The sequence below is a fragment of the Homo sapiens genome, chromosome 6 (assembly GCF_000001405.40).
Source record: "Homo sapiens chromosome 6, GRCh38.p14 Primary Assembly".
NCBI classification, from domain to species: domain Eukaryota; kingdom Metazoa; phylum Chordata; class Mammalia; order Primates; family Hominidae; genus Homo; species Homo sapiens.
The window spans coordinates 139976984-140001892 of record NC_000006.12 but is presented as its reverse complement, the minus strand read 5'-3'; the positions used below and the strand labels follow the sequence as shown (position 1 = coordinate 140001892).

General features: G+C 38.0%; 2 long non-coding RNA genes across 3 annotated transcripts in view, besides 1 other annotated feature; one reads left to right on the top strand and one right to left on the bottom strand.

Moving 5' to 3' along the window:
- The window catches only part of LINC02941 (long intergenic non-protein coding RNA 2941), a 117403-nt gene that overhangs the window by 91829 nt on the left and 665 nt on the right, over window positions 1-24909 (bottom strand). The gene's annotated exons all lie outside the window — the stretch shown is intronic.
- Window positions 10632-23543, top strand: LOC103352541 (uncharacterized). Its single transcript, NR_121624.1, has 3 exons — window positions 10632-10900; window positions 23020-23271; window positions 23489-23543. It is a non-coding gene; the product is annotated as an uncharacterized LOC103352541 (long non-coding RNA).
- Window positions 18887-19181: a silencer, noted in NCBI's record as "tiled region #1100; HepG2 Repressive non-DNase unmatched - State 24:Quies, and K562 Repressive non-DNase unmatched - State 23:Low". NCBI's record gives its function as "represses a minimal TATA promoter and a strong SV40 promoter by Sharpr-MPRA in HepG2 and K562 cells {active_cell/tissue: HepG2 | K562}" and the evidence as "EXISTENCE:reporter gene assay evidence [ECO:0000049][PMID:27701403]".

Below are 24909 nucleotides of genomic sequence, written 5' to 3'. Positions count from 1 at the left end.
TCCCCAACCCTCTCCCCACACCCTAGAATTAATACACAAGAGAAAGCAATTAAACTGCTACTAAATTCTCCTTCTCACTCTTGCTCTTTTTCTCCCTGCTTCCTTGAATGTGTCCTGAAAATCATATATTATTTCTGTTGCAATGACATAGATGTTTTTAAATTAAATTTGCTCCAAACTATTCTAAATGTAAAGCCCTAGCGAATAGCAGCAAAGATATGCATTAATGATGATAAGGAATACATTTGTTTGTGATTCAAACCGGACATCCCAAAGACAAGCATTTTCTTGTCTTCAGTCTACAATCCATTAATCAAAATTAACTACAACCAAGATATTTTCTCAGAATGACCTCTGAGTACTCGAGTGGTAAATAAAACTACAAGAAAATAAGAATATTGTAATGTCTTCAATCTCAATATATTGAGGTGTGTATGAGGATGTGTTTGTGTGTAAAATACTATTTTCTGTATTTATAAACCTTTATTTGGAATGTTTTCTGTCATCAAGCACCTTGAATTAGACTTTGACATAGAAAAAAAATGATTTTATGCTGTAGTCAATCCTATATCTAAGGTCACTGAATTATCTGCATGAATTATCTATGAAAACAAGATTATATATCCATGCTGCCTGATTGCAATTCTGTTCCGTTTTCTAGAATTCTGCATGTTTATAGCCCTGAGTTGTGCATGTTTTCTGAATTTGGTCAGGGCACTTTGCCAACTGCACATTTGGAGAGTTGTAATATCTTATCTATTCAGGTCAAACACTGCTGAGGTCCGAGCTAGGTTTGGACTATCAATCAGAAATTATTACCTAATGGATTTCTGATTTAAGGATATAAATAAACATTCCATTTGTTCTAAATAATGCTTACCTTGTATAGATATGGCATGCCACCTATTTAATTCAGATTTTTCTTTAAATAATATATATAAATATACAAGCATAGTATATGGAATATTAAATACCACGGTGTATAATATCCATCTAGGTTATTTATACATAGCAAAAACTAAGAATCCTAAAATTCTCATATTTTATGCAATAGTACAAATGCTACAACATTATATAATATTTATCTATATAAAACTTAACTCTGAAGACATAGCCACAATTACATGGACTATGGTAGATTAATCTATGAAGATTGTCTCCCAACTCTCTAATGACAATTAATAAATCCAATTACTATTATGACTTGAATACTATGTTTTTGTCTTAAAATCGACTGTGTCTGTTTTCTGCATCCCATGTAAAAGAATGTCACCCTAAAATTTTCAAGAATGGTGAAAATTTCCTAAAGAATTTAAAATTTAACTGTGATAAAAGTTGGGTTTATTTATTCAACATTCAACAAAATGTATTGAGTGTCTACAAAGTGTCAGATATCCTCCTACTTCTGGGGGTTTTCAATGGCTGCATAAAATTTATGCTATATCAGGATAGGAAAACACCATATGCCATAATGGCTATGATATTCTCTTTCATGTTACCAAAAGTTAGTGACTCAATTTTCCACTCTGTCTTCTCTAGATTTTCTTATTTATCTTTAATATAATATTATAGGGAAGATTGCCTTTCTTTTCATCCTTCTAAGTAAAATTTTGTTTTAGTAAAAAGGAAGACAACTAAACAGTCCTCTGTTACAGTCACTTGCTGAGTTCTGAGTGCATGTTTAAGGCTGAAATGGATTTAGGAGGCTTGATTCCTATTGATCAATTCTTGGTTAAGAGTAAAATGTTGAGAGGTGGCAGCGGTGGGACTCCTCACAGCCCTCGCTCGCTCTAGGCGCCTCCTCTGCGTGGGCTCCCCATTTGGCGGCACTTGAGGAGCCCTTCAGCCCACCGCTGCACTGTGGGAGCCCCTTTCTGGGCTGGCCAATGCCGGAGCCCACTCCCTCAGCTTGCAGGGAGGTGTGGAGGGAGAGGCGCCAGCGGGAACAGGGGCTGTGTGTGGCGCTTGTGGGCCAGCTGGAGTTCTGGGTGGGCGTGGGCTTGGTGGGCCCCGCACTCGGAGCAGCCGGCGGGCCCTGCCGGCCCCAGGCAATGAGGGACTTAGCACCCAGGCCAGCGGCTGCAGAGGGCATACTGGGTCCCCCAGCAGTGCCAGCCCACCGGCGCTGTGCTCAATTTCTCACCGGGCCTTAGCTGCCTTCCCACGGGGCAGGGCTCGGGACCTGCAGCCCGCCATGCCTGAGCCTCCCACCCCCTCCATGGGCTCCTGTGTGGCCCGAGCCTCCCGGACGAGTGCCACCCCCTGCTCCAGGGCGCCCAGTCCCATCGACCACCCAAGGGCTGAGGAGTGCGAGCGCACGGCGCGGGACTGGCAGGCAGCTCCACCTGCAGCTCCAGTGCGGGATCCACTGGGTGAAGCCAGCTGGGCCCCTGGGTCTGGTGGGGACGTGGAGAGTCTTTATGTCTAGCTCAGGGATTGTAAATACACCAATCGGCACTCTGTATCTAGCTCAAGGTTTATAAACACACCGATCAGCACCCTGTGTTTAGCTCAGGGTTTGTGAGTGCACCAATTGACACTGTATCTAGCTGCTCTGGTGGGGCCTTGGAGAACCTTTGTGTCCATACTCTGTATCTAACTAATCTGATGGGGACGTGGAGAACCTTTGTATCTAGCTCAGGGATTGTAAAGGCACCAATCAGCGCCCTGTCAAAAGAGGCCACTAGGCTCTACCAATCAGCAGGATGTGGGTGGGGCCAGATAAGAGAATAAAAGCAGGCTGCCAGAGCCAGCAGTGGCAACCCGCTCTGGTCCCCTTCCACGCTGTGGAAGCTTTGTTCTTTCACTCTTTGCAATAAATCTTGCTGCTGCTCACTCTTTGGGTCCACACTGCTTTTATGAGCTGTAACACACACCGCAAAGGTCTGCAGCTTCACTCCTGAAGCCAGGGAGACCACGAACCCACCGGGAGGAACGAACAACTCCAGACGTGTGCCGGCCTTAAGAGCTGTAACACTCACCGCAAAGGTCAGCAGCTTCACTCCTGAGCCAGCGAGACCACGAACCCACCAGAAGGAAGAAACTCCGAACACATCCGAACATCAGAAGGAACAAACTCCAGACGCACCACCTTAAGAGCTGTAACACTCACCGCGAGGGTCTGCGGCTTCATTCTTTAAGTCAGTGAGACCAAGAACCCACCAATTCCGGACACAATGTCACTCAAATTCCGAAAAAGAATTGCATCATCAGAATGTCTTATTCCATTAACAAGTGCTTAATGTTAGGAATAACTCCTGTGTTTTATCACCCTGGCAATCTTTATCTACCATGTAACTGTGAATCGAGGTGACTGAAATAATAAAACGTTAACAAATGATAAGTGTTTCTAATTAACAAGTTGTAATAGCAAACTTACATATCCCTACATACATGAATCAACACATAAAAACAGTTTTAGTGTTATTTACAAATTTTTCATGCCTTCTTTTCCCTATTCAGCATCCTCCTACCCAGGAAGAAGGTCAAGTCATAAAGTAATTACCGACAGTAATGTTGCATTTTTCAAAAATAAAGAAACAGGCCTAGTTGAGAAATGTATCGCTGGGGTATAATATTAGATCATCAGCTTTGTCATTTAAATTATTCATGTCACTAAAGGTGGACTACTAAGAGTTGGAAAGAAAGGCTAGGAATTGTTGAAAGAAGAGCAAATCTTCTAAAAACGAATGAAAAATAGAGATATTGTAAAGAACATCCCTGGGTCTAGATCAAATGTTCCACAGGGTATCAGAGAGTCTTTAAGTTGAAAGAAATTTCCATTGCATGTCTGGTAGCTTTGCTATTATCAAATTTCTGTTAGGTAGCCATAAAATTCTGTTTCTGCCATTTCAGAGTTTGGGAATCCACCATTTCACAAGAGCAACTGAATTTATTTTTAAGAGCTTTAGCCATAACAATCTTGCTTTGCTGCCTCACTAAAAATTCTACTTACGGGTTTGAGTTGGGCCTTGTAAAGTTAAACAGAAATCCACTCCACACATCATCTCTTCATGTACAGTAATCCCCCCTAATATATGTTTAAGACGTTTAGTGGATGCCTGAAACCATGCATGGTACCCAACCCTATATACACTTTTTTTTTCCTATGCATATCTACCTACAGTAAAGTTAAATTCATAAATTAGGCAAAGTAAAAGATTAACAACAATAATTAGTAATACTATAGGACAATATAACAATATACTGTAATAAAAGTTATGTAAATGTGGTCTTTGTTTCTGTCCTGAAATTATCTTATTGTACTGTACTGACCTATTTTCAGACAGTAGTTGACTATGGGTAACTAAAAACTTGGAAAGCAAAACTACAGATAAAAGGGGACAAAGTAGGCCATTATGTCTACTTTGTCTTCATTTCTTCACTTCTACCAGGGAAATCTCCTCAGTTCATCCAAATATTTGTCAGGGAGCTTGGCCTTCGCCCCATCCCATAATCTTGATGGCAGCTCATCTGTCCTTAATCCCTGGAAGAAAATACTCCTGTGCATTATCATGAGTGAGTTCAATAAAAAATTAATTCAAAAAAGTCCACCGATGTAATCTATGCTTCTTTAACCTGATTTTAGGATTGCTAATGAACAACAGAAATCCACTGGCTGAGAAAGCAGAAAAGAGTGATCCTGACCAAGTGTTCTCAAAGGAATTTAGTAGGAGACTTGTCCAAGAACAGAGATTACACACACCACCACCTCCACCACCACTACCCATTTCACCAGGAAAGTGCATGACTTTAAGAATATGGCAGATACTTTCATTTTGGAAGAAGATCTACAGAATTGGATTACTCTGGTGCTGTACATGGAGTTTGGTACTACTCTGTACTCCCACTCCCTCCCAACGAACATAATCACACCAAATCCAACAGAAAAACTTCATTGTAAATTACTTCTATATCAATATTATCTTTTCCCAACCAGCATTCTAAAAATATTAATATTGTTTTACCAGAGTAGGAGAAAAAAACTATAATACTAAGACTTTCTCTCCCTGATCACAAGATGTGGCACCCTACAAGATAGCCAAAAACAGGAGAGAATCAATGAGTTTCATCAAATTCTAATATTTCTCTTCTGAAGGCTGAAAAACGTCAGAAGTCATGTTGAATGGTTTTGTTTGTGTATGTATTTCTGTGTGTGTTTGACTTTGAAAGCCACAGGTCATGAGGTGGGGCAATGGGGAGAGGTGGCTACAGCCAACCAGTAGACATTCCATGGTAAACCACAAAACTCTAGATGGCAGCATGTTACTGGCGTAGGGTCCAGAGTTAGTTATTAAGGGTGCCTCACGTTAAGCACCAAAACAGGTAGTGATGGCTGTCACCATCACAAGGGTATACGTAGAGCTTCATAATGCTTATCTAACCAGGGGGAGAGCCAGTGACTGTGGAAGCAGCAAACATTCACAGCTGCACTCTCCAGGCCCAGAGTGCTGAGTAGGCAAGAGTCACCAAAGAGAGCCACAGAATTTCAGGGACTTGAGTGGGAGGGAGATGTCTGAGTCAAGAGATGACTGGAACATTTGGACAATCTCATATAGGAAATTTTTTGCCATGCTTGCAACCTGGACGGCATATCTCACACCCCTAGATACCCACACACGCAAAAAACTATCTTTGCATCTCACAACCCAAACTACTGTGCCATCACTGGGCAGCTGAAGCAGAGCATTCAACTAAAATCCAGCAAGTGGACAGAGAGTAGATCTGGGCCCAGGGATGGAGAGAAGCACATTCATCAGCTCAAAAGCTTCAGGAACATTGATAAACATTAAAATTAAAATACTGGATTGGTATAAGTAAGTACTCAACTGGATGATATTAATAAGACAACTCCTACTAGAAAAAATAGTCTAAACCCTTTTTATATCTTCCACCAGACTCAGTTTCATTTTTAGTCTCTCCATCTCATGCTCTATTTATTTTTCACAATCACTTCATAGGGTAAGCTCATTTAGTGTTGGTCAACTAAAATACTAAGATGTGATTTATAGATTTCATATGAATTATTTTCTACATATATCGCTTTTCTCCTGTAATATGAATTTGATAGCATAAACCTCAATGTAGGACTCAACTTTGATTCCTGCTAAATTTTATCTTGTTAGTTTTGGTCCATTATTTAAACCAATTGAAATAATTTTTCATCTTGATTCTCTCATCCATTATATTACCTATCATTCTCATCATTGTATAAATGAGTATATAACTAGTATCCTTTATCTTTGAGGTCCAAATGGACCAATCACAAATAGAAAATGTTCCTTAGTAAGTGATTTTATTCAGTCTATTGTCTTTTGAGTGCAATCCATTTGCCTTTTTGGGGTTTAATGAATGTACAGGTTATGAACTGAAGCTTCTCCTAAAAGCTAATAACATAGCTTTTGGGACAAAGCATCATTAACCATGATTTGTAGAATGATCATCAATCAAACTATTCTCCTTATTTATTTGAATTTTTTAATGCAGTTAACTTTTTATTATTTTTCTTTATGTGCTTATATTCTTCTATGAGATACTCTCTGAAATGTTTAATAGTTCAATTCAAAGGAATAGTGCAAAGGAAGGGAGAAGAAAACTAAATGTATGATTCCACTATATGAGTCAAGCACTTTGATTGACATATGTGACATCATTCCTCACCACAATTCAGTGTGTGATGTCTTACTCTCATACATTTTATTGACAAGGGAACTGAGACTCCAAAAACAAAAAAATGTGTGTCTTGGCCAAAATCACAAAGTTGGTAAGTGAGGAATCTATAGCATAAAACCAGATTGATCTGCTTCCAGAGTTTTCCTTGCTTGCTTTCCACAGATGGTGCATTCATCCCACTTAAAAAGTACCCTTTGATGATTTGTCTTAAGTCACTTTGTGCAAAGAGCACCAGGAATACAACTATGAGAAACACAGCAGAAGTAAGGAGAGTAAGAATAAGACAAGTGTAAGAACCTCCAAAGTACAAGATGAATGGGATTAGCAACAACAGAGGTATAAACTATGCTAGAAAGTGTGGCGGGGGGCGGGGGTAAGCTATTTTTTATTTGGACTTGCGTTCCTAATTGCCTGGATTATTCTAGCTTCTCCCAACCTCCTCTACACTACTGTAGGCAACTGCATGGCACAAGAAAAGACATGTTTTGGAATCGGGCACACCTGGATCTGAAACCAATCTCATCCTCTTACCAGTGGTAACTAGTAAGAGTTGGACAAATTACTTTACCTTTTCTTAGCTTCAGTTTCCTTTTCAGCAAAAAAAGTCCCATTAACACCTAAACATGAGATTGTAATTATAAATGAAATTACATCAAACATGTCATGTCGACCCATAGCAGGTGTTCTGAAAATGATTTTTCCATTCTCTTTCTGCCTCTCAAAGTAATTTTTTGTTGAACACTATTTTATGTATGTGTTATTCCTGTTTTTTTGTGTCATATGTCTGCTGTGATTTGAATGTTTTTGTTCCCTCTGAAACTCATGTTGAAACTTAATCCCCACTACAACAGTGTTGGAAGATGGGGCCTAATGGGAGGGTCTTTAGGTCATGAGGGCTCCACCCTCACTAATGCCACTATAAAAAGGACCTGAAGAAGTGGGTTCCCTCTGTCTTTTGTTCAGCCAAGTGAGAAACAGCCTTCCTCTACTTTATATGATGCAGTATTCAAAGCACCAAGTCAGGATTGGGGACTGGGCCCTCACCAGACACCAATCTTACTAGTGTCTTGATCTTGGACTTCCCAGCCTCCAGAGCTGTAAGAAATAAATTTCTGTTCTTTATAAATTATCCAGTCTATGGTATTCTGTTATAGCAGTACAAACAAACTAATACAGTGTCATTCTTCTGTTTAGAATAATTAATGACTCCCTCTGCCTTCCCCTTCATATCCACTTTCCAATGCCTGGTTGGTAAAATACGCTCATAATCTAGTCTTTCTTACCCATGGATCATGCCATCTCAATTCTGTATTCATCAGACCAGAGTTTCACTAACTCATAAATACATATCATTCTCATCCCAGTCTCAGAGGTTTTGACCACTTTTTCCTTCCCTTTTTCCTGGGCTTAGTTATCCCACAAATCTCATGCATCATTTAAGAATTCAGCTCTGATCCCTCCATAGTTACAGTTAACTACCCAAGCCTTTATTTATTCTTCCTTCTGTGAGGGCTTACAGTGATTAGTGTTTGTAGAAAAGAATTGAGCACTTCATTTTCAACCCCTCTCCCCTAACCCTGCCTTATTTCTCCCAGACCCACACACTTAGGCCTCACAAGTTTATTCTATCCCAATTTTCAGACCAATCTAGAATTGAGGTCCAGAGGTTGTCACGTCTCACACAGGCTGAAACCGTGGTATTCCTCAGGCCACTTGACCCAGCATAAGTCCCCATCAGACCAAAGCCCCCAGACCCAGACAACCTCCTAGTTTCTACACTGCTCTCTGAGTCTGTTCAATGGCATCCCTAAGGTTCACCCACAGTGTCAATGTATTAATATTTCCAATTTTTCTGTTCCCTTTGTTCCTTAATGTTGGCTCAGTGAAGTAAACTGGATGTCTGTCTTGTCCTTCAGATAATCTCAGCATTCAAAACCTGGTGAGAACCAATTTGCCTCAAGCATATACTCCTTCTTGATTACTTTGCTAATTTTTGCCAGTTATTTATGCCTCTCCAAATTAAATATAACAACAATAATCATCATTATAAATAGGCTCTGCTGAGTGCTCACCCTTTTGTAGGCACTGTTTCAAGCACTTTACATGGCTTATCCACATGCTTTAATCTTCATAGCAATCCTATGACACTTACTAAAATGGAAACTGAAGCTCCAAAGGTAACTAACTTTTCCCAGCTCATATCACTAGTAAATGAATGATCCAGGATACAATGCAAAGCAAGTCAAACTGTCTCTAAAACCTGCCCTCTAGGTACTACTCCACAATTGAAATGTGTGTCACTTCATACCCATCAAAAGAATCCCTGAAATGTGACCAACCTGACAGATTCAAGACATGATTAAAGTCTAGCTTACCCCTCTGTGCTTCATTTAGCCCAACTGGAAGTCCCTGGTGCCAAATTTGAACCTCATCCACAAGCTCTACCACTCAAGTTGCCCTACTATGGTGTTAGTCCCCTGTGCCTGGCAAGCCCAGTTGGGCAGGTGGCAGAGCCTGGCTCCCTTCTGGCTCAGGCCATAAAGAGACAGGGCCTTAATTTGAATGTAAATTTCCTGAAATCAACTAGTGTGCAATCTAATTGTAGTGCCACCCTATATCGTACGGAATCATACATTCTGTATATGCTGTATGATCGTATCCTCTGTGTTTCTGTATTAACTGTTAGAGATATAGGGTAGCACTCTAATTAGATTGCACACTAGTTCACTTCAGGAAACTTACATTGACTCTGTACATCAGGAAACACTGAATATGTGGTATGTTATTGTTTTGCAATTGTTTTTCAAGGGTATAAAGGAGTGATTATAAATAGCCATGATAGCCATGTATGCTCCAATTCATTATATCTACATAGAAAGCTAAAGTAGCATCTTATACTGCATCCATTCTTCAAAATGTCCATGTTACAAACAGAAAACAAAGACTTTTTTCTCATACTGGCAACCACCACCAGCATATACACCTGTACATAACATAAATTTCTTAGGAACTAGATCTAAAATTTTTAATTTTAGGAGAGTTGGAAGAAAATATTTCTGAACTGAAAGAAACATAGTAAGCAAGAAAAAAGAAAATGGAAGATATAACAGAGATGTTTAGTATATGACCTCCCCAAGAGAATCATGGGTTTAACTAGAGAAATTGACAACACCTCTATTGGCTGTATTCTGGGCAAGTGAATCTCAGGAGTCTCAGGTATAAATTGGGGATAATAATTTAGATGTACTTCAATGTCTTATGGGAAGAACAGAAAAGGCAATTACATAAAAATACTTACTACCTTAAATTGCTGTATAAATACTTTTATTGAACTTTAGCTCAATTTTATTTGCACTTAAGACAACTCTACTAAAAGTATCACCTTTTATCCCACAAATTTAAATAATTCTAGACATAAAACCTATATATACGCATCAAAAGTTAAATTATCCAGTAAGTAAATGTTGATTTTTGTTGTTGTTAAGTCTTTTAAAGTTTGTGTTGTTAGGAAGAAATGCCTGGTGAATTATTGTTTTTGTGTTACATGTATAGTCAACCATAGTCTTAAATCTCCCAGCTCAGATCTCTGCCTCTGGCTCTCAGCAGTTCTTAAACACAGTCCTCCCCATAAAGGGAGAGTCACCTGAGAAAAATATACTTGGTCACATCTCTATCTCCAGGCTAAAGCTGACAATAGCCTCTCATCAAGTCTCTCCATTTCACTGCACAGAAATTCGGTGTGTTAAACAACACATTCAAAAATTCGAGAAAAAAACAGCATCTGAATGCCTTTAATTTAAAACAGCCATATTAACTTTTGCTAGTCTGATTACCTATGTGGTAGGAGAACGAGGCGGAATACTTGAAAACAGCACTACTCTGATGACTAAAACAACTCACTGGCTTTTGTTTTGTTTTGTTTTCTACTTGATACAGGGCTAGGATTCCATCTTGAGTCTGAAATAACTGAGATGGGTTATGTAAGCATAAAAACACATTGTCATCGTTTGCTTCAAAAGTTTGTTTGAAATGTTTTAAATCCTAGAAAATCAGGGAAGTGTCAGCAAAATCTATATTTGGTATGGCATCGGAAAAATCACAAGATTAGAGTCTTCTGTTGAAACGAGGACTGAAAACATGGCTGTTAAGAGAAGTATGTGCTGTCGTAAGAGCCTGCAGTGAAGGAGCTGGCCTTGATGAAGCAGCAGAACGTGAAATGCCAAAACAGGTCTGTGCTTTCACAGAGCTAGTTGGAATTACAGGGGATCATAGGCAGGCAAGGAATTGTAATCTTGCTTGGTGCTTGAGAGTATTAAGTAAAATGAACAGCCCTGATTTTATTTTCAGGACTCTTCTATAGGAAAGAGGGAGTAGCAAATTTCTTTTAAAATACAAATTGTTTGTTTGATTCATAGATCTTTTACTTGGGACTGCTGCTTAGAAAGACCTGCTACAATTGCCATTTGGGGTCATATTCATTATCTCCAGGCTGTTTGGCTTTTCTACCCTTGGGGAAAAAATTGGACATAATTTCACAGAATCTCAGTTCTACTATCTTTATTAGCAAAGCTAAAAAGATAAGGACTGATAACTTTTTTCCTGCTACAGATTATTTTATATGTGGTTAAGACATGCTGCCAAAAGGATGTAAGACAACATAAAATTGTAACGTAGAATTTGCAATACTGGTGGCAAAAGCATGGATGATTATCAAGTGTAGGTTTATGAACCAATTTCTCGTCACTGTTTTCCAACCTCAAAAGCTTGTTTGCCTCTGGCTCATTCTAGAAAAAGAGAACTGCCACCAATGTACTCACAGAAGGCTGCTGAGCATTGCATGATGCAGTGGAGAGATTTGAAGTCATGTGTCTTAGAAGGGGAATCTCCTTCAAATATAACTGGGAGGAGTGATTTCATCAACAAGTGCCATTTTGAGATGTATTTGGCTCTAGTTTGGCTACATTGAGATAAATATTAATCAGAATCTTTTGTTCATATTTTCCTATCAAGATAAAAAGAGGCATAAATTCAGCTCTGAGGAAGTGTTGCAGAGATAGTGAGAGGTGATTTGTTTTAGAGTGTAAGCAAACGCCAGCTCTGTTGACAAAGCCAGTTCGTTAGAACACACTAGCCTGTCCTCAACCTCTCTGCTAGCTAGAAGGGACCTCAATGGTCATGACAAGACTAAGACAGAAGCTCACATTACTAAAAACTTACAAATAAGGAACAGGTAACAGTTGTCAAAACAATGCCATCCCATCACCAGGTCCTAAGCTGTATGACACCATGAAGGGCGATACAAGGCAGGCTTTATAACAGTAATCATGTATTTGGATTCAAAGTTACTTCTAAAAAACATCAAAACTTTCAGCTTAACCTGATGTGAGTGAAAATGAAACAAAACAAAGTAAAGCAAAAGCATCCAGGGATTGTATGTATGGACCTCCATGGCTTTTATTTATAATACAGGTGAAGTGGGGCCCTAACTCTCATTATGGGAACAAATCAGAATGTGAAGAAAAGTCCAGTTAATTGTGAGAAAGATAATGAGTGTCACCATCCTAAACCAATCCACGGAATTTCCTCCTGAGGACTTTTCCTTCAAAAGTGATACAATTAACAAATAGAAAAAGGCTATTTGGCTTCTTGAAACAAAACAAGAGACACACAAGCGATGCAGTTTTTCTGCATTCCCTGGCTAAGAGTTATGACTTTGGAAGGACAACTACTTGTATTCAAATCCTGGCTTATTTGCTATGTGACAAGGGGCATATTGCCTAACTTCTCTGTGCCTAATTTCTCCACTTAAAAGGGAGTAATAAAAGGAATTACCTCAAAGATTGGCTGTAAGGATTAAGTGAAACACTATATATAAAGTTATTAGAATGTTTCCCAACATATGGCTGATACTTCATTCCGCCATTTAGCACATATTTATTGAACTGATCCATGCAGATAGCATCTTAGATGCTTGGGTTACAGCAGTGAACAGAGAAATGTCTCTACCCTCATAAAATTTACATTCTAGTGGAATTTAGCTATTGTGATTAATCTACTATCCAAGTATCTACAAAAACTATTTTAAATAATTTCAACTTGTACTGATAGCCTAACGCATTATAGGCATAAGGCAGAGTCTAGCACTCATCTTATTGAGTCTGTAACTGAGGCTTAAAGAGAATTGAGAACATATTTCTAAACAAACAAAAACATTTGTATAGATGCCCTAAAAGCAGGGCTACTTTAAGTTTTGGGATACAAGGTCCCTTTAAGAGTTTATTAAAAGCTGCAGATCTGTTTCTAATAAAGTTAAAATACCTATCTGATGACCCAGCAATTCTACTCCTAGTTACTTACTCCCCCAAAATGAAAAGATAATGTCCACAAAAAGACATGGACAAGAGTGTTCATAGCAACTTTATTTACAATATGCAAAAGCAAGCCAAAGGTCCATGAATAGATAAAAGGATAGTCAAATTGTGTGATAGTCATATGGGAGAATACTGCTCAACATTGAAGAGAAGTTATTGATTGAAGCAATAATATGATGAATTTCAAAAAATCAGAAACTAGACACTAATGAGTATTATATACTATAGGATTCCATTAAGATGAGGTTCAAAAATAGACAAAAATAATTTATAGTGATAAGTATCAGTAAGCAGTTGCACTGGGTGGTGGATGGGAAATTGATTAGAAAAGGCCCGAAGAGAACTTTGGGTGATGGAGATCTTTTATGTATTGTTTTAAGTTGTAGCTACACAAATGTATACAATTGACACAACTCTTAGAAATCACCTTTAAAGGTCTATGCATTTTGTTATATATTATACCTCATTAAAAAAAGAAGTCATAAAAAACGGTAGTGACTTTCCCCAGATAAATACTCATGCATTGCACGTAAAATTTTAGATGGTAAATTGACCCCAGGGTAAAATTTCCTGATATAGGAACTTGTGATTGAGTTGGCTAAAAATGTCACCGTTAAAATATGTATATAGATAATTCAAGAAGAATCTTCTAGAGAAAAAGCTTGGTGTAATTCACTGACATTTTCTATATACCAATGCTATTTCGAAATGCCTTCCCCATAGAATGCTGTACTTGATCAAGACATATTTACCGTGAAGTATTTTACCATTAATTTTGAAAGGCATGTGTTTAGAGTAATTTAATATTTCCTTGAAAGTCAAGTAGAATAAAAAGGAAGAGTGTTAAGTGCATTAACTATGAAGATATCAATTCATATCTCTGCTTAAACAGCATGTTATGCTTTGAGCAATGTTCTAATGTGTTCTAAAGAAATATAGGCTTGGGCCTTTAAAAGAAAAAAGAAGGGCAATTTTCTGTCAGGGGGTCCACGACCCAGGCCAAACTATACATCTGCAAAAATGACTATAGAGACTAATAAGAAACCCAATTGTATGCTAATTTCAAATTAGCTTTTATACTTGCTTCAGGCTTCAAAGGGGACTGAGAGAAAAAAAGTAGTTATATGGAAGAAAATTACTCATTATTAGAAAAAGGCCATCACAAGGGATTCAAATTTCTCTTGTTCTGATTATAGCAAAAGGTCATGCAGAAGAGAAAACCATAAAGATTTCTGAGAAAAAAAAAAGGCATAAAAGAAGAAAGCTAAATACAAAAATGGTAGACAAGCCCAAAGGGGAAATGAAATGATTCAGATTGAAAGCTTCTGATTTGTGGAAAAAAAAAAATTGGGATTAGGCTAAAGATAATTGAAGTTTAATGAGAAGGTATCTAATTATACTGGTATATTTATTTAAGTATTTTCTAATTGGGTATTATTTTTATAATGATTTAATTACTTAATAGTGCTGCTTGTTGATTTAACAAAGAGTTTTGTTTTTACAGAGAGAGCATGACATAACAGGATAAATGTTCTATCTTCTGGATGCCTGTGGGTAGTTTAGACATTTAATTACATGACCTAAATCTATCAGCCACTGTCCCCATAAAGAGGCTAGCCCTTATTGCAGAAATACAACCTGAGAGAATATAATCTGTATCTGTACACCCTATTTCTCTAACCCATGTCTAAAATATGACCAACTTTATATATCTGAAATAAACCATAAGTGCAGACCAATAGCTTTCTAACTTTTTGACCAAGACCCTTAGTAAGAGATGCATTTTACATTGTGTCGTAGTCAGTTTGGGCTGCTATAACAAAAATACCATAGACAGGATGGCTTTAACAACAGAAATTCACTTCTCACAGTTCAGGGAGCTGGAAAGTTCAAGAGTGCCAGCCAAGTCAACTTCTGGTGGAGGCCAACCTCCTGGTTTGCAGATGAATACCATATTTCCACCAACATTCTTTGCACTATTATTTAAGTGTTCTATGAGAAGATGAACCTCTCTCTTCAGCTTTCTTCTTCTGTTTCTGAGGTCTTCCTAGAGTTGCCTTTAAAACTCTCTTCACAAAAACATTGGCTTTTGCTAGCATGCACCTCAAAACTCTTCCAGAATCTATTATTATTATTATCATTATTATATTATTACAGTAGTCCCCTCTCCTCTGTGGTTTTGCTTTCCTTGATTTTCATTACCTGCAGCCTACTGCAATTCAAAAATATTAAATAGAATATTCTAGAAATAAACCATTCCTAAGTTATTAATTAGTTTTCAATAGTAGCCAAACGCTGCATCACAACACCAATGTCGTTCATCTCACTTCATCTCAGAAACAGGCATCTTGTCATCCCACATCATCACAAAAAGAAGAGTGAATAAAGTACAATAAGAGATTTTGAGAGACATAGAGACCATATTACCATAACTTTTATTATAGCATATTGTTATCCTTTGCCTATTTTATTATTAGTTATTGTTACTTTCTTACTGTTCTTGATTTATAAATTAAACCTTAGCATAGGTATGTAAGTACAGGAAAAACATAGTGTAAGTGGGGTTCAGTACTATTCACAATTTCAGGCATTCACCAAGGGTCTTGGAACATATTTCCCTGTGGATAAGGGGGGGCTACTGTATTATAATTACCATAAGGCATTGGGTCACATGATTACGGAGACTGAGAAGTCCATGATTTGCTATCTGCAAGCTGGATACCCAGGAAAAGCAGTGGCGTAGTTTGAAGGCCTGGAAGTCAGATAGCCAATGCTATAGATTCTGAAGGTCTGGGAACCAGCAGCACCAGAACCAGGAGAAAACAGATATCCTGCTCAAGCAGTCCGACAGAGTTAACTCAAACCTTCTTCATCTTTTTGTTTTATTCAGGCCCTCAACAAATTACATGATGCCCACATACCTTGGGGAGGGCCATATGCTCTACTCATTCTACCAATACAAATGCCGTCTCTTCCAGAAACACTCTCACAGACACATGCAGACATAATGTTTAGTCAGATATCTGGACATCTTGTGTTCCAGTCAAGTTGACACATAAAATTTACCATCACACATCATGACCCAGAATACAAATTTATATCAGAAAGAGAGAAAAGGAAGGAGGGAAGGAAGGAAAGAGGAGTGAGAGAGGAAGGAGGGAGGGAGGGAAGGTAGGAAGGGAGGAAGGAAGGAAGGAGAGAGAGAGAGAGAGAGACAAACAGAAATAAAGAAGAAGAAAGAAAGAGAGGAAAGGAAGAAAGAGAGAGGAAAGGAAGAAAGAAAGAGAAAGAAAGAAAGAAAGAAAGAAAAAGACAAGACAGAGAGGAAGGAAGAAAGGAATGAAGGAAGGAAGGAAGGGAGAGAGGGAGGGAGGGAGGGAGGAAAGGAGGGAAATAAAAGACCCATAAAATAAATCTAAGTTGCAAAACTTTTATATATTTTATTATGTTCTATTTTTTCATTCTATTTTTAATGTGAATTGTTATCCACTAAAATGATTTTGCTGCCACAGTTTAAAAAGCAAATATTACAAATGCTTAATTGACTCCTCTTTACTTAAATTGTCTCTATGATTGGTAAAATAGCCATAAATTTTCTTTGCTGACATGCTGGATTCTGAGTGCTTTAAGACTACCTGAGACATGACCAAAAGGGAGAAGCCTTGAGTCTTTCAAAGAGACCTCTGGGAAAACTCATTTCTGTCTGAAGTTTCATCAAAATCATCCTGAACATCCGTATTTCTACTAACATCCTTTACATGATTATTTATGTGCTCTGTAAAACTATGGAGCTTTCTCCCCAGCTTTCCTCTTTTCTTTCTGAGCCCTCACCTGAATTGCCTCTAAAAGTCAAAAGGGGCTGAAAACCTAGTAAGATATCTTTCCACTTTGCCCTTTTCTCCACAAACTCTGATGCTCACACTGCCCTGTTCTGAGATATGATCAGGCTCCTACTGATCCGACTCCCAGAGCAGTGCTCAGTAGCCTGCTTTTCCTCACCTGGGCAATTCAAACTTCACCTACTCAGGAATTGAGATTTGCTGATTTGCTACAGCTAGAAATGTAATCAAATATTTGCGTTAGTTTTCAACCACTCAATGATTTATCATTCTTTTCATTATCTATTGTCTGGCTTCTAACCACCATCTTGAGTATAAACGGTGAAGATGGCAAATATAGGAAAGAATGGTCTTTTACTGTAGGAACCTACAAGTAATGAAGTGGGACCAAAGCAGTCTCTGAACCGGGCTTACATCTTTACAAGAATGTCTAAGAGAAGAAAGGTCGCTCTCCAGCATGTTCAGTCGCAGCAGCCAAAGAATTTATGACAGTGGAAAATGAAGAAGGTGGAATAGGCCAACAACAAATTAGCTGATTGTTGGTGAAGCAATAGGGGCCAGGATACCTTTTATAGGCACACGTTCCAGTCCAGTGAGTCGCCTTTCAGTATCCATCAGAACCCCCTAAGTAGTCTGCTTAAATCAAGATGAGTTGTCTGGTGTGTTCTACAGCCCTAGACCCTACCACTAAGTGGGAAGAGAGGGAGAGAAAAAGAGGGTGCAGGGAACCCTAGAGAAGCACAGGGCAATTCAAGTAAAAGTGGGGAAGGAATGTACCAGCTGTGCACTATCAATATTTTCCTATCAAGACATCCGCTGCCTCAGGATCACATGGTGATGAATCACAACAAAGACCCAACAAAAAATGTTGACACTTTGAGACTCTTACTTAAACATGTACATCAAAAAAGTGGGAGGGGGAGGTACTCCAAGCTGCATGACTTGATATTGACTTGATCCTTGCACAGACTACAGTCATCATTAAACACACATGCTCTCCCAATTTGTATGCCCATACCACAGTCCTCACTCCTTGTTGAGCAATAACAAGGAGATCAGTGTGACTGGAACCTAGTTAAACTATCATGCTCATGATGCTATGCAGTAGCTCTAGATTCCATGTTATAATGTGTGACGTTACCAAAATAATATCCTAAATTATCACAAAGTGGTATTTTAAAAATGCAGTTTTGCGATCCAATTACTTCACAGGTCACATGGCCTCAATCACTGACCTTAGAACTTAACAGCCATCTATAGTGTTTCCATGAAAAATATGTTCCAGGCTCCAAACAGCATTCTTTTAGGCAAACTTTTAGAACACAATCTGCTTAGGAACTGTCTCTACTGTTCTGTGATACGTTTGTTTTGCACATGAAGTTAATTTCGGACTCTTTTCTACAAAGATATTTCCTGCCCTTGGAAGATGACTTCAAATAATAAATTGTCACCAAAAATGGACATGAAACTTTTAAAAAGCAGTAGGGAGGTGGAAAAGATGAACAAGCTGAAAACAAGTCCATTTTGGGAAGGTTCTGAACATCCTGGTTAAGGGAGTTTTTCATTTTAAAGGAAAAAGTATTCATCTGATGTGCTTCTTTGTTCATGGCACTTAATATAGAATTCTACAATGTTAAAAATAGGAAGTCAGGTTTATATGGTGTTTGCTTTAATGACACTAAACTGCCTGGAAATAGCAGCACATGCTATAACAAGTTTCAGATATTAAAAGAAAAGCTACAATGCTAAACTCTTTTCAAAACTTTTATATGAAGTCCCAGGCTTTGTGGACATTCAGGAGTAAATCAGGGCTAATACGGGAAGCTTACAGATGGTAAAATGGCTTCAGGCATCCCAATTATATTAAAAAGTTGAAAGCGGCAGATTCATATTCTCCCTTTTTACATGTCATAAATTCCAAAGTGTTGGTGTCAAACTGTGTCAATTGCACTCATTTATTAATACTTGGAATACCGTCAGTGAGCTGCCTAACTGTTATTATCCATTTATTCATTTACAGCCATCTAATACTAACAGCACCAGGCACAGTTTTCAATCCTTTCCCTAAAACCATACATGCCTCAGGGAGACTTACATAAGCCTGCATCTGGGGAGAGGGGGGAGGAGGAAATAGCAAATTGCAGGATCTGCTGATCTTGGATATAGGTCTCTCTGCAGGAGCTTCCAAATGTGTCTTTGTTTATGTTCTGGGCTCTGGGTTGTTGTGGGGCAGGGATCTAAGGAGGAAGGAATTTGTTGCCTCAATAAAAAAAAAAATGTGGAAGAAAGGTTAGGTGAAAGACAGAAAAAAAAAGACTATCTCCGTGTATTCTAAAACAAATATTTACACATTCAAATATCATCTTTTTTTTTTTAACTATCTGATCTTCAGTCTTGGATGCAGTGGTTAATAAACCCTGATGTCTCCACACAAAGTAAAAAAATAAATAAAATAAAAAATGTATGGCAACAATGCCATGATTCAGACCCAAAAACTACCCTGCATAAAACATTCATTATAATTAATGCAGTGTTTCTTGGCTGGTATTATTAAGACCTTAATTTTCCACTTGGTGGAACTTACTGTATGTAGTAGAAAAATCACTGGCTCTGAGTCAGAAATGCCTTGATTCTAATCCAGCCCCTGCCACTTCTTAGCCATGCCATGTGTGTAAATTAGTTGACCTCTCTGAGCCTTGGGTTTGTTTTCTTTAAAATGTGACTTATAAGGAAATATTAAATGTGACGATTAAATAAAAGAAAGAAAAACAACTACACAGTTCCTCTAAATTGCAGCTTTCCTCCCTCACCCCTTTCCTCTTTAAGAACTGCACAGACATTTTTAATAAGAAAGGATATAAGTGATCAAAATAATTATTCTGAAAACATATGATTCATTGCAGACATTGGTAGTGTGCCCTACGTGCTATTGGGCATGAAAGAGTTAAGTGGGAACGTCACCTTAGAGTCCTGGGGGAAGGGCGGAAGGGAGGGTAATAGCAGATTTAATAGTGTTTCACAGGCAGAGTCCTGGTGCTGTGCAAAGCTCCAGATCGTGTTTCTTCTTAGACGCCAATCAGTCAGGAAGTGATTCTCAAAGAAGTTTACATTGCCCTACTCTCTTTACACTGCAGCACAGTAGGAAACCCAGGACACAGAATACTCACAAGAAAGATGCTAGCATTTCCTGGGATAATAGGGAAAGCAAATGAGCCTCATGTCACATAGCATATTATAAGGAAGCAAAGCCTCCTACACAACATTATACTAAAAAGACCAAACTTATATTAAGCCTTGAACAGTTGCATATGTAAAGACCAAGAAAATAATCCAAATAGTAATCAAAAGCTCTAATTCTTCTTCAATTCCAGTTCATGTGCTACATTTTGAGAAGCATGACACAAAAGTGTGCATGCTCTCTCACACACACACATGCACACACACACAAATATACACAACTCATGCAACACATGTTCACACCTTCTGGTCAATACAAGAAAAGAAACCTAGATTATATCAGAACACAGACAGTCTTACTAGTCAGGCTGTGTCTTCACCACATGCTTAATGGAGAAAAATGGGTAAGGTATATCAGAACTTCATCAGAGAACATTCCAAAGCTGTTACATACATTTATGCTTGTCAAGTGTGTAACATGCACATAATTCTCTTTTATTCTTTCACCCAGTATTTATTTTCTGTTAGCTAGAAGAGGGCATAGGCTTTGTCTATATTGCTTACTTTTAAATTTGTGACCACCTGGCATGTAGTAGGTGCTCAGTAAATATTTGCTGAATAAATTAATGAACATTTCCAATTCTAGGGGGGATTCTGCCATTTTAAATAAGCAATTACAGTAGAATAAGCTAATTTGATTTTTGATATCCCGAGGAACCTTTCCAAGCCCCTTTTGTTGGTAGTTTTCTTTTTAGAACACTGTCTGAACTAGGCCTATCTTATATGGCTTTGCTCCAGCTGACTGGAGATTCACGTGGTAGCCTGTGGAGAGGTATCTACATGAAAGATAAAGACATTGGTTATATTTGTACAGATATTACACTGTGCTGCAAATAACCCACTCTGTCTTTTGTTTTTCTTGAGACAGAGTCTCACTTCTGTCAACCAGGCTGGAATGCAGTGATGCAATCTCAGCTGCAACCTATGCCTCCTGGGTTCATGAGATTCTCCTCGTGCCTCAGCTCCCTGAGTAGCTGGGACTACAGGCACGCACCACCATGCCTGGCTAACTTTTGTATTTTTAGTAGAGACAGGTTTTCACCATGTTGGCCAGGCTGGTCTCAAATTCCTGACCACAAGTGATCCACCCACCCCATCCTCCCAAAGTGCTGGGATAATAGGCATGAGCTACTGCTCCCAGCCTACCCACTCTGTCTTCTATACATTAATTCTAAATCAATGATTTATGAATTTACCCAAATTGATTTTTCTCTACTTATGTTTTCAGCCTCTTCTCCTTCCAGGCAATGAGCTCCATGCTAGCATTCCCCTTTTCTTCAAAGTAATATCTTTTATTTTTTCTTAGAATTCACCACAAGCAATTCAGCAAAATGTCACTGGCGCCTCCTACAAGATACCATGACAGCAAAATTTTATCTTTACTACATGAGGATTTTTTACTTTTTCTAAAGTTTAAATTTTTTCCACTTCTTTCTCCCTTTATCGTGACCTTACAAAGAACCATCATGGTCCAGTTACAGGATGTCCTCTTACAGAAACCATATTTTCTTTCCTTCATTAAGTTATGCAAGTTTAACCAACAAGTGACTGTCTTCATCATAACTTCCAGTGGGCAGTTCAGGGACTGGAGGGGGACCTACCAGCCTGCAGACCCGGCACATTTTCTATAATTTTCTTCTAGAAAGGGATTTCACTAACAATCTCCCGACTTTCTTCAGGTTTGTAACAAAAGTGTCACAATCTAGTCCCTAACAACCAAACCATTTTCATTATTAAAATGAATGTCATCATACATTTGTCAAAACTCATTATGTACAACCTAAGAGAGAGGCCTAACGTAAACTTCGACTCTGGGTGACAATGATGTGTCAACGTAGGTTCACCCATTGTAAACAAATGTACCAGTCTGAGGGGAATGTTGATCACGGGGGAGGCTGAGCATGTGTGAGAGCAGGGGAGATATGGAAACTCTCTACTTTCCACTCAACTTTCCTGTGGACCCAAAACTGCTCTAAAACAAAAATAAAGTCAATTACAGTAAAATACCTGCATAGGACATAACTTCACGACACTGTTCAAAACATTTTACTTATTTTGTGAATATAAGTATATGCAATTCTTGTAACAATATTATGAGAGCTATATTACTACTATTATCCCCTTTTTGCTGATGAGGATTCAGTTACCTGACCCCAAATGTCATGACTGAGAAGTACCAGAACTGCCGCCTGGCTGCAGCCGACACACCCGTCCTTACTCCGCTTGGGTGCTTCTCAGTCATGCCAAACTAAGTCTCCAGCCACACATTCCTTCCCTTCGCCCCAAGCACAGTTCTTAAAGCTATTAGCTATGGTTGTTCTCATAGGCGTATTGTGTACTTAACAGTAAATATACACGCATAAAAAATATTTCTGCATGTGCCACTCTGAAGGATATGCTTTATATTTTTAAAAAAATGGAAGTGAAATCATTCCCAACAGTTTTCTCAGTAAAGATGAATATAAGGATTCACTTGAGTTCATCAAAGTGCCCCACAGATTCTTTGGTTATCTGTCTAATTCTGACATAATTCTGGAGTTTTTATAACTCACTTGGCAGTCTACTACAACCTTGATTATCCCATGGTTATTTAAGGAAGTTTTTATTTTTTAATATATTTTCTGTTTTACAAATTATCTGATGATGTGTATCATTTCTAAAAACAGAACAGAATCAACATTTTTTAAAAGTTTAGTCAAGAAAGGGACATCTAAATTGTTTAGATAACTGTGGTGACATAGACCAGAGAAGGTTTCAAAGGAAATCACTGTTTGTTCGTGAAGTGCAAATCCCTTTCCAGGAAATTAGTATCATGAAAATTATTACCAAAAAATCATAAATATATGCAGGGTTTTGTTTTGAATATATCTCTCATTAAAAAAAACAAATTATTTTTTCAGATGGAGTTGCTTGGATACAAGGAGAATCTTACAGAATACAAATGAACTTGAAGGCATTAGTAATATTTTCAAAATAATAGAGAAATGACACAAAGAGTGAAAGAGGTGAAATCTGTCTTTGATGGGAATAATATCTAAAAGGAGTATTGTACATATCTGCTGGCAGCTTTAAAAAAATTAATGATTACTGAAATTCAGAAATGTCAACAGTATGAAATGAGCAAAATTACTTCCCTAACAAGATTTTATAAGGTGAGCAATTGTTTTGAACATTTTCTAACCTTAACTTTTCTATTTATCTTAAGAATTTAAAAAACAAACAAAAAAAAACCCTAGTGTTTAAATATGAAAAGGAGACTTGTGGCAAATTCAGAATATAATAATTGACCATTAAAATAGAAATGCCTTCTCTAACCAGAAAAATGAATAAGGAAATTATAACTTACATTCTCTATGGATGTCTTTACAGAGATAAAGTAGTGGGATATTTCCTTGAAATAATGTTCATCATCAATGCTGAAGTTTACAGAGGACAAAAATATGAAATCATGTGTTCATAGACAGCCCCAGGACACACACAGTGGATGCATTGTGTTCTCCTGGGTTGCATAACTACTTTGAAAGAAGTTTTCTTTTCTGTGTCATAAAAGAAGACTTTTTGGCTCTGCCAGGATACTCTACCATTTGGCCCCATAGACTTCAAGCATGCCTGAAGATACGTGCCAATGGCTTGTTGGTTTTTGAAGATCATTCTGATCTCTGCTGAGTTACCCAACTGGACTCAGAAGGGTCTGACCCACGTGCCACATTCCAGCTGTTTGCTTGTTTGTTTTTAATCTCAACCTAGTTTAATGGGAAGAAGGTGAGTCACCTTGTGTGTATGTCAGCTGATATTTATGTCATGGAAACTTAAAGGGGATAGACTTGAAATTGAAAAGATAAGATTGTGATTGAATGGGCCTTGTATAAACTATGTTTTGTTTTTGTTCTCTTGCTTACTTACCTTGTAAACAGATTCCTTGAGTCTTAAACCAAGGATCTTAATCTTTGGTATTTACAGAGCCTTTCTTCCATGAAGCAGAGTTATTTAGGATGCTGCCAGCAAATGAGCTCTCAACTGGATCTGTCGTCATCATCATAGAACTTACTATGGTCTGGTAGTATTCAAAGTGCTTACTTAAATTAATTTCTGGAAACAACCTCACACATTTGACTCTATGTATTTTTCCACCTCATGATGAGGAAACAGACACAAAAAGGCCAAATGATTTTTTCAAGGACATTCAGCTAGGAAAGGGCAAAGACAGGCACAGATGAAGAAATAATCACAGGCACAAACGAGGTATCTGTTAATAGAGATCCTAGGAATCTGTGACTGTCAATATGAATTACAAATATGAAAATTATTTGTTGAATCAACAAAGTGGAAATAAAACTATTTTTTCTTAGCTGATTTGGTAATGACTAACAGTCAACATACCTATTAAGTGGTTTTGGTTGAAATAATTTAATTTGTTGTCAATACTAGTTCCCCCCTTTAAATTTAATGATACAGTTCCAATATCTAGATGAACAAATAAAGATAGGAGAAAGAATTCTATATTTTAGTCATTTCTGCTTATGGCCTCAATTTCAGATTCCAGAAATCCATAGCTAAGTAGTTATAAAGCAATTACAGTTGTTAGAGTAGCCCAGGATGGCTGGACAAAGTTGAATATTTCATGACTAAAAACAACAACAGCCAGGCACAGTGGTTCACACCTATAATCATAGCACTTTGGGTGGCTGGCTTAAGCCTGGAGTTCGAGACCAGCCTGGCAGTAAACTGAGACCTTGTCTCTATAAAAGATACAAAAATTAGTTGGTGTGGTGGTGTCTGCTTGTAGTCCC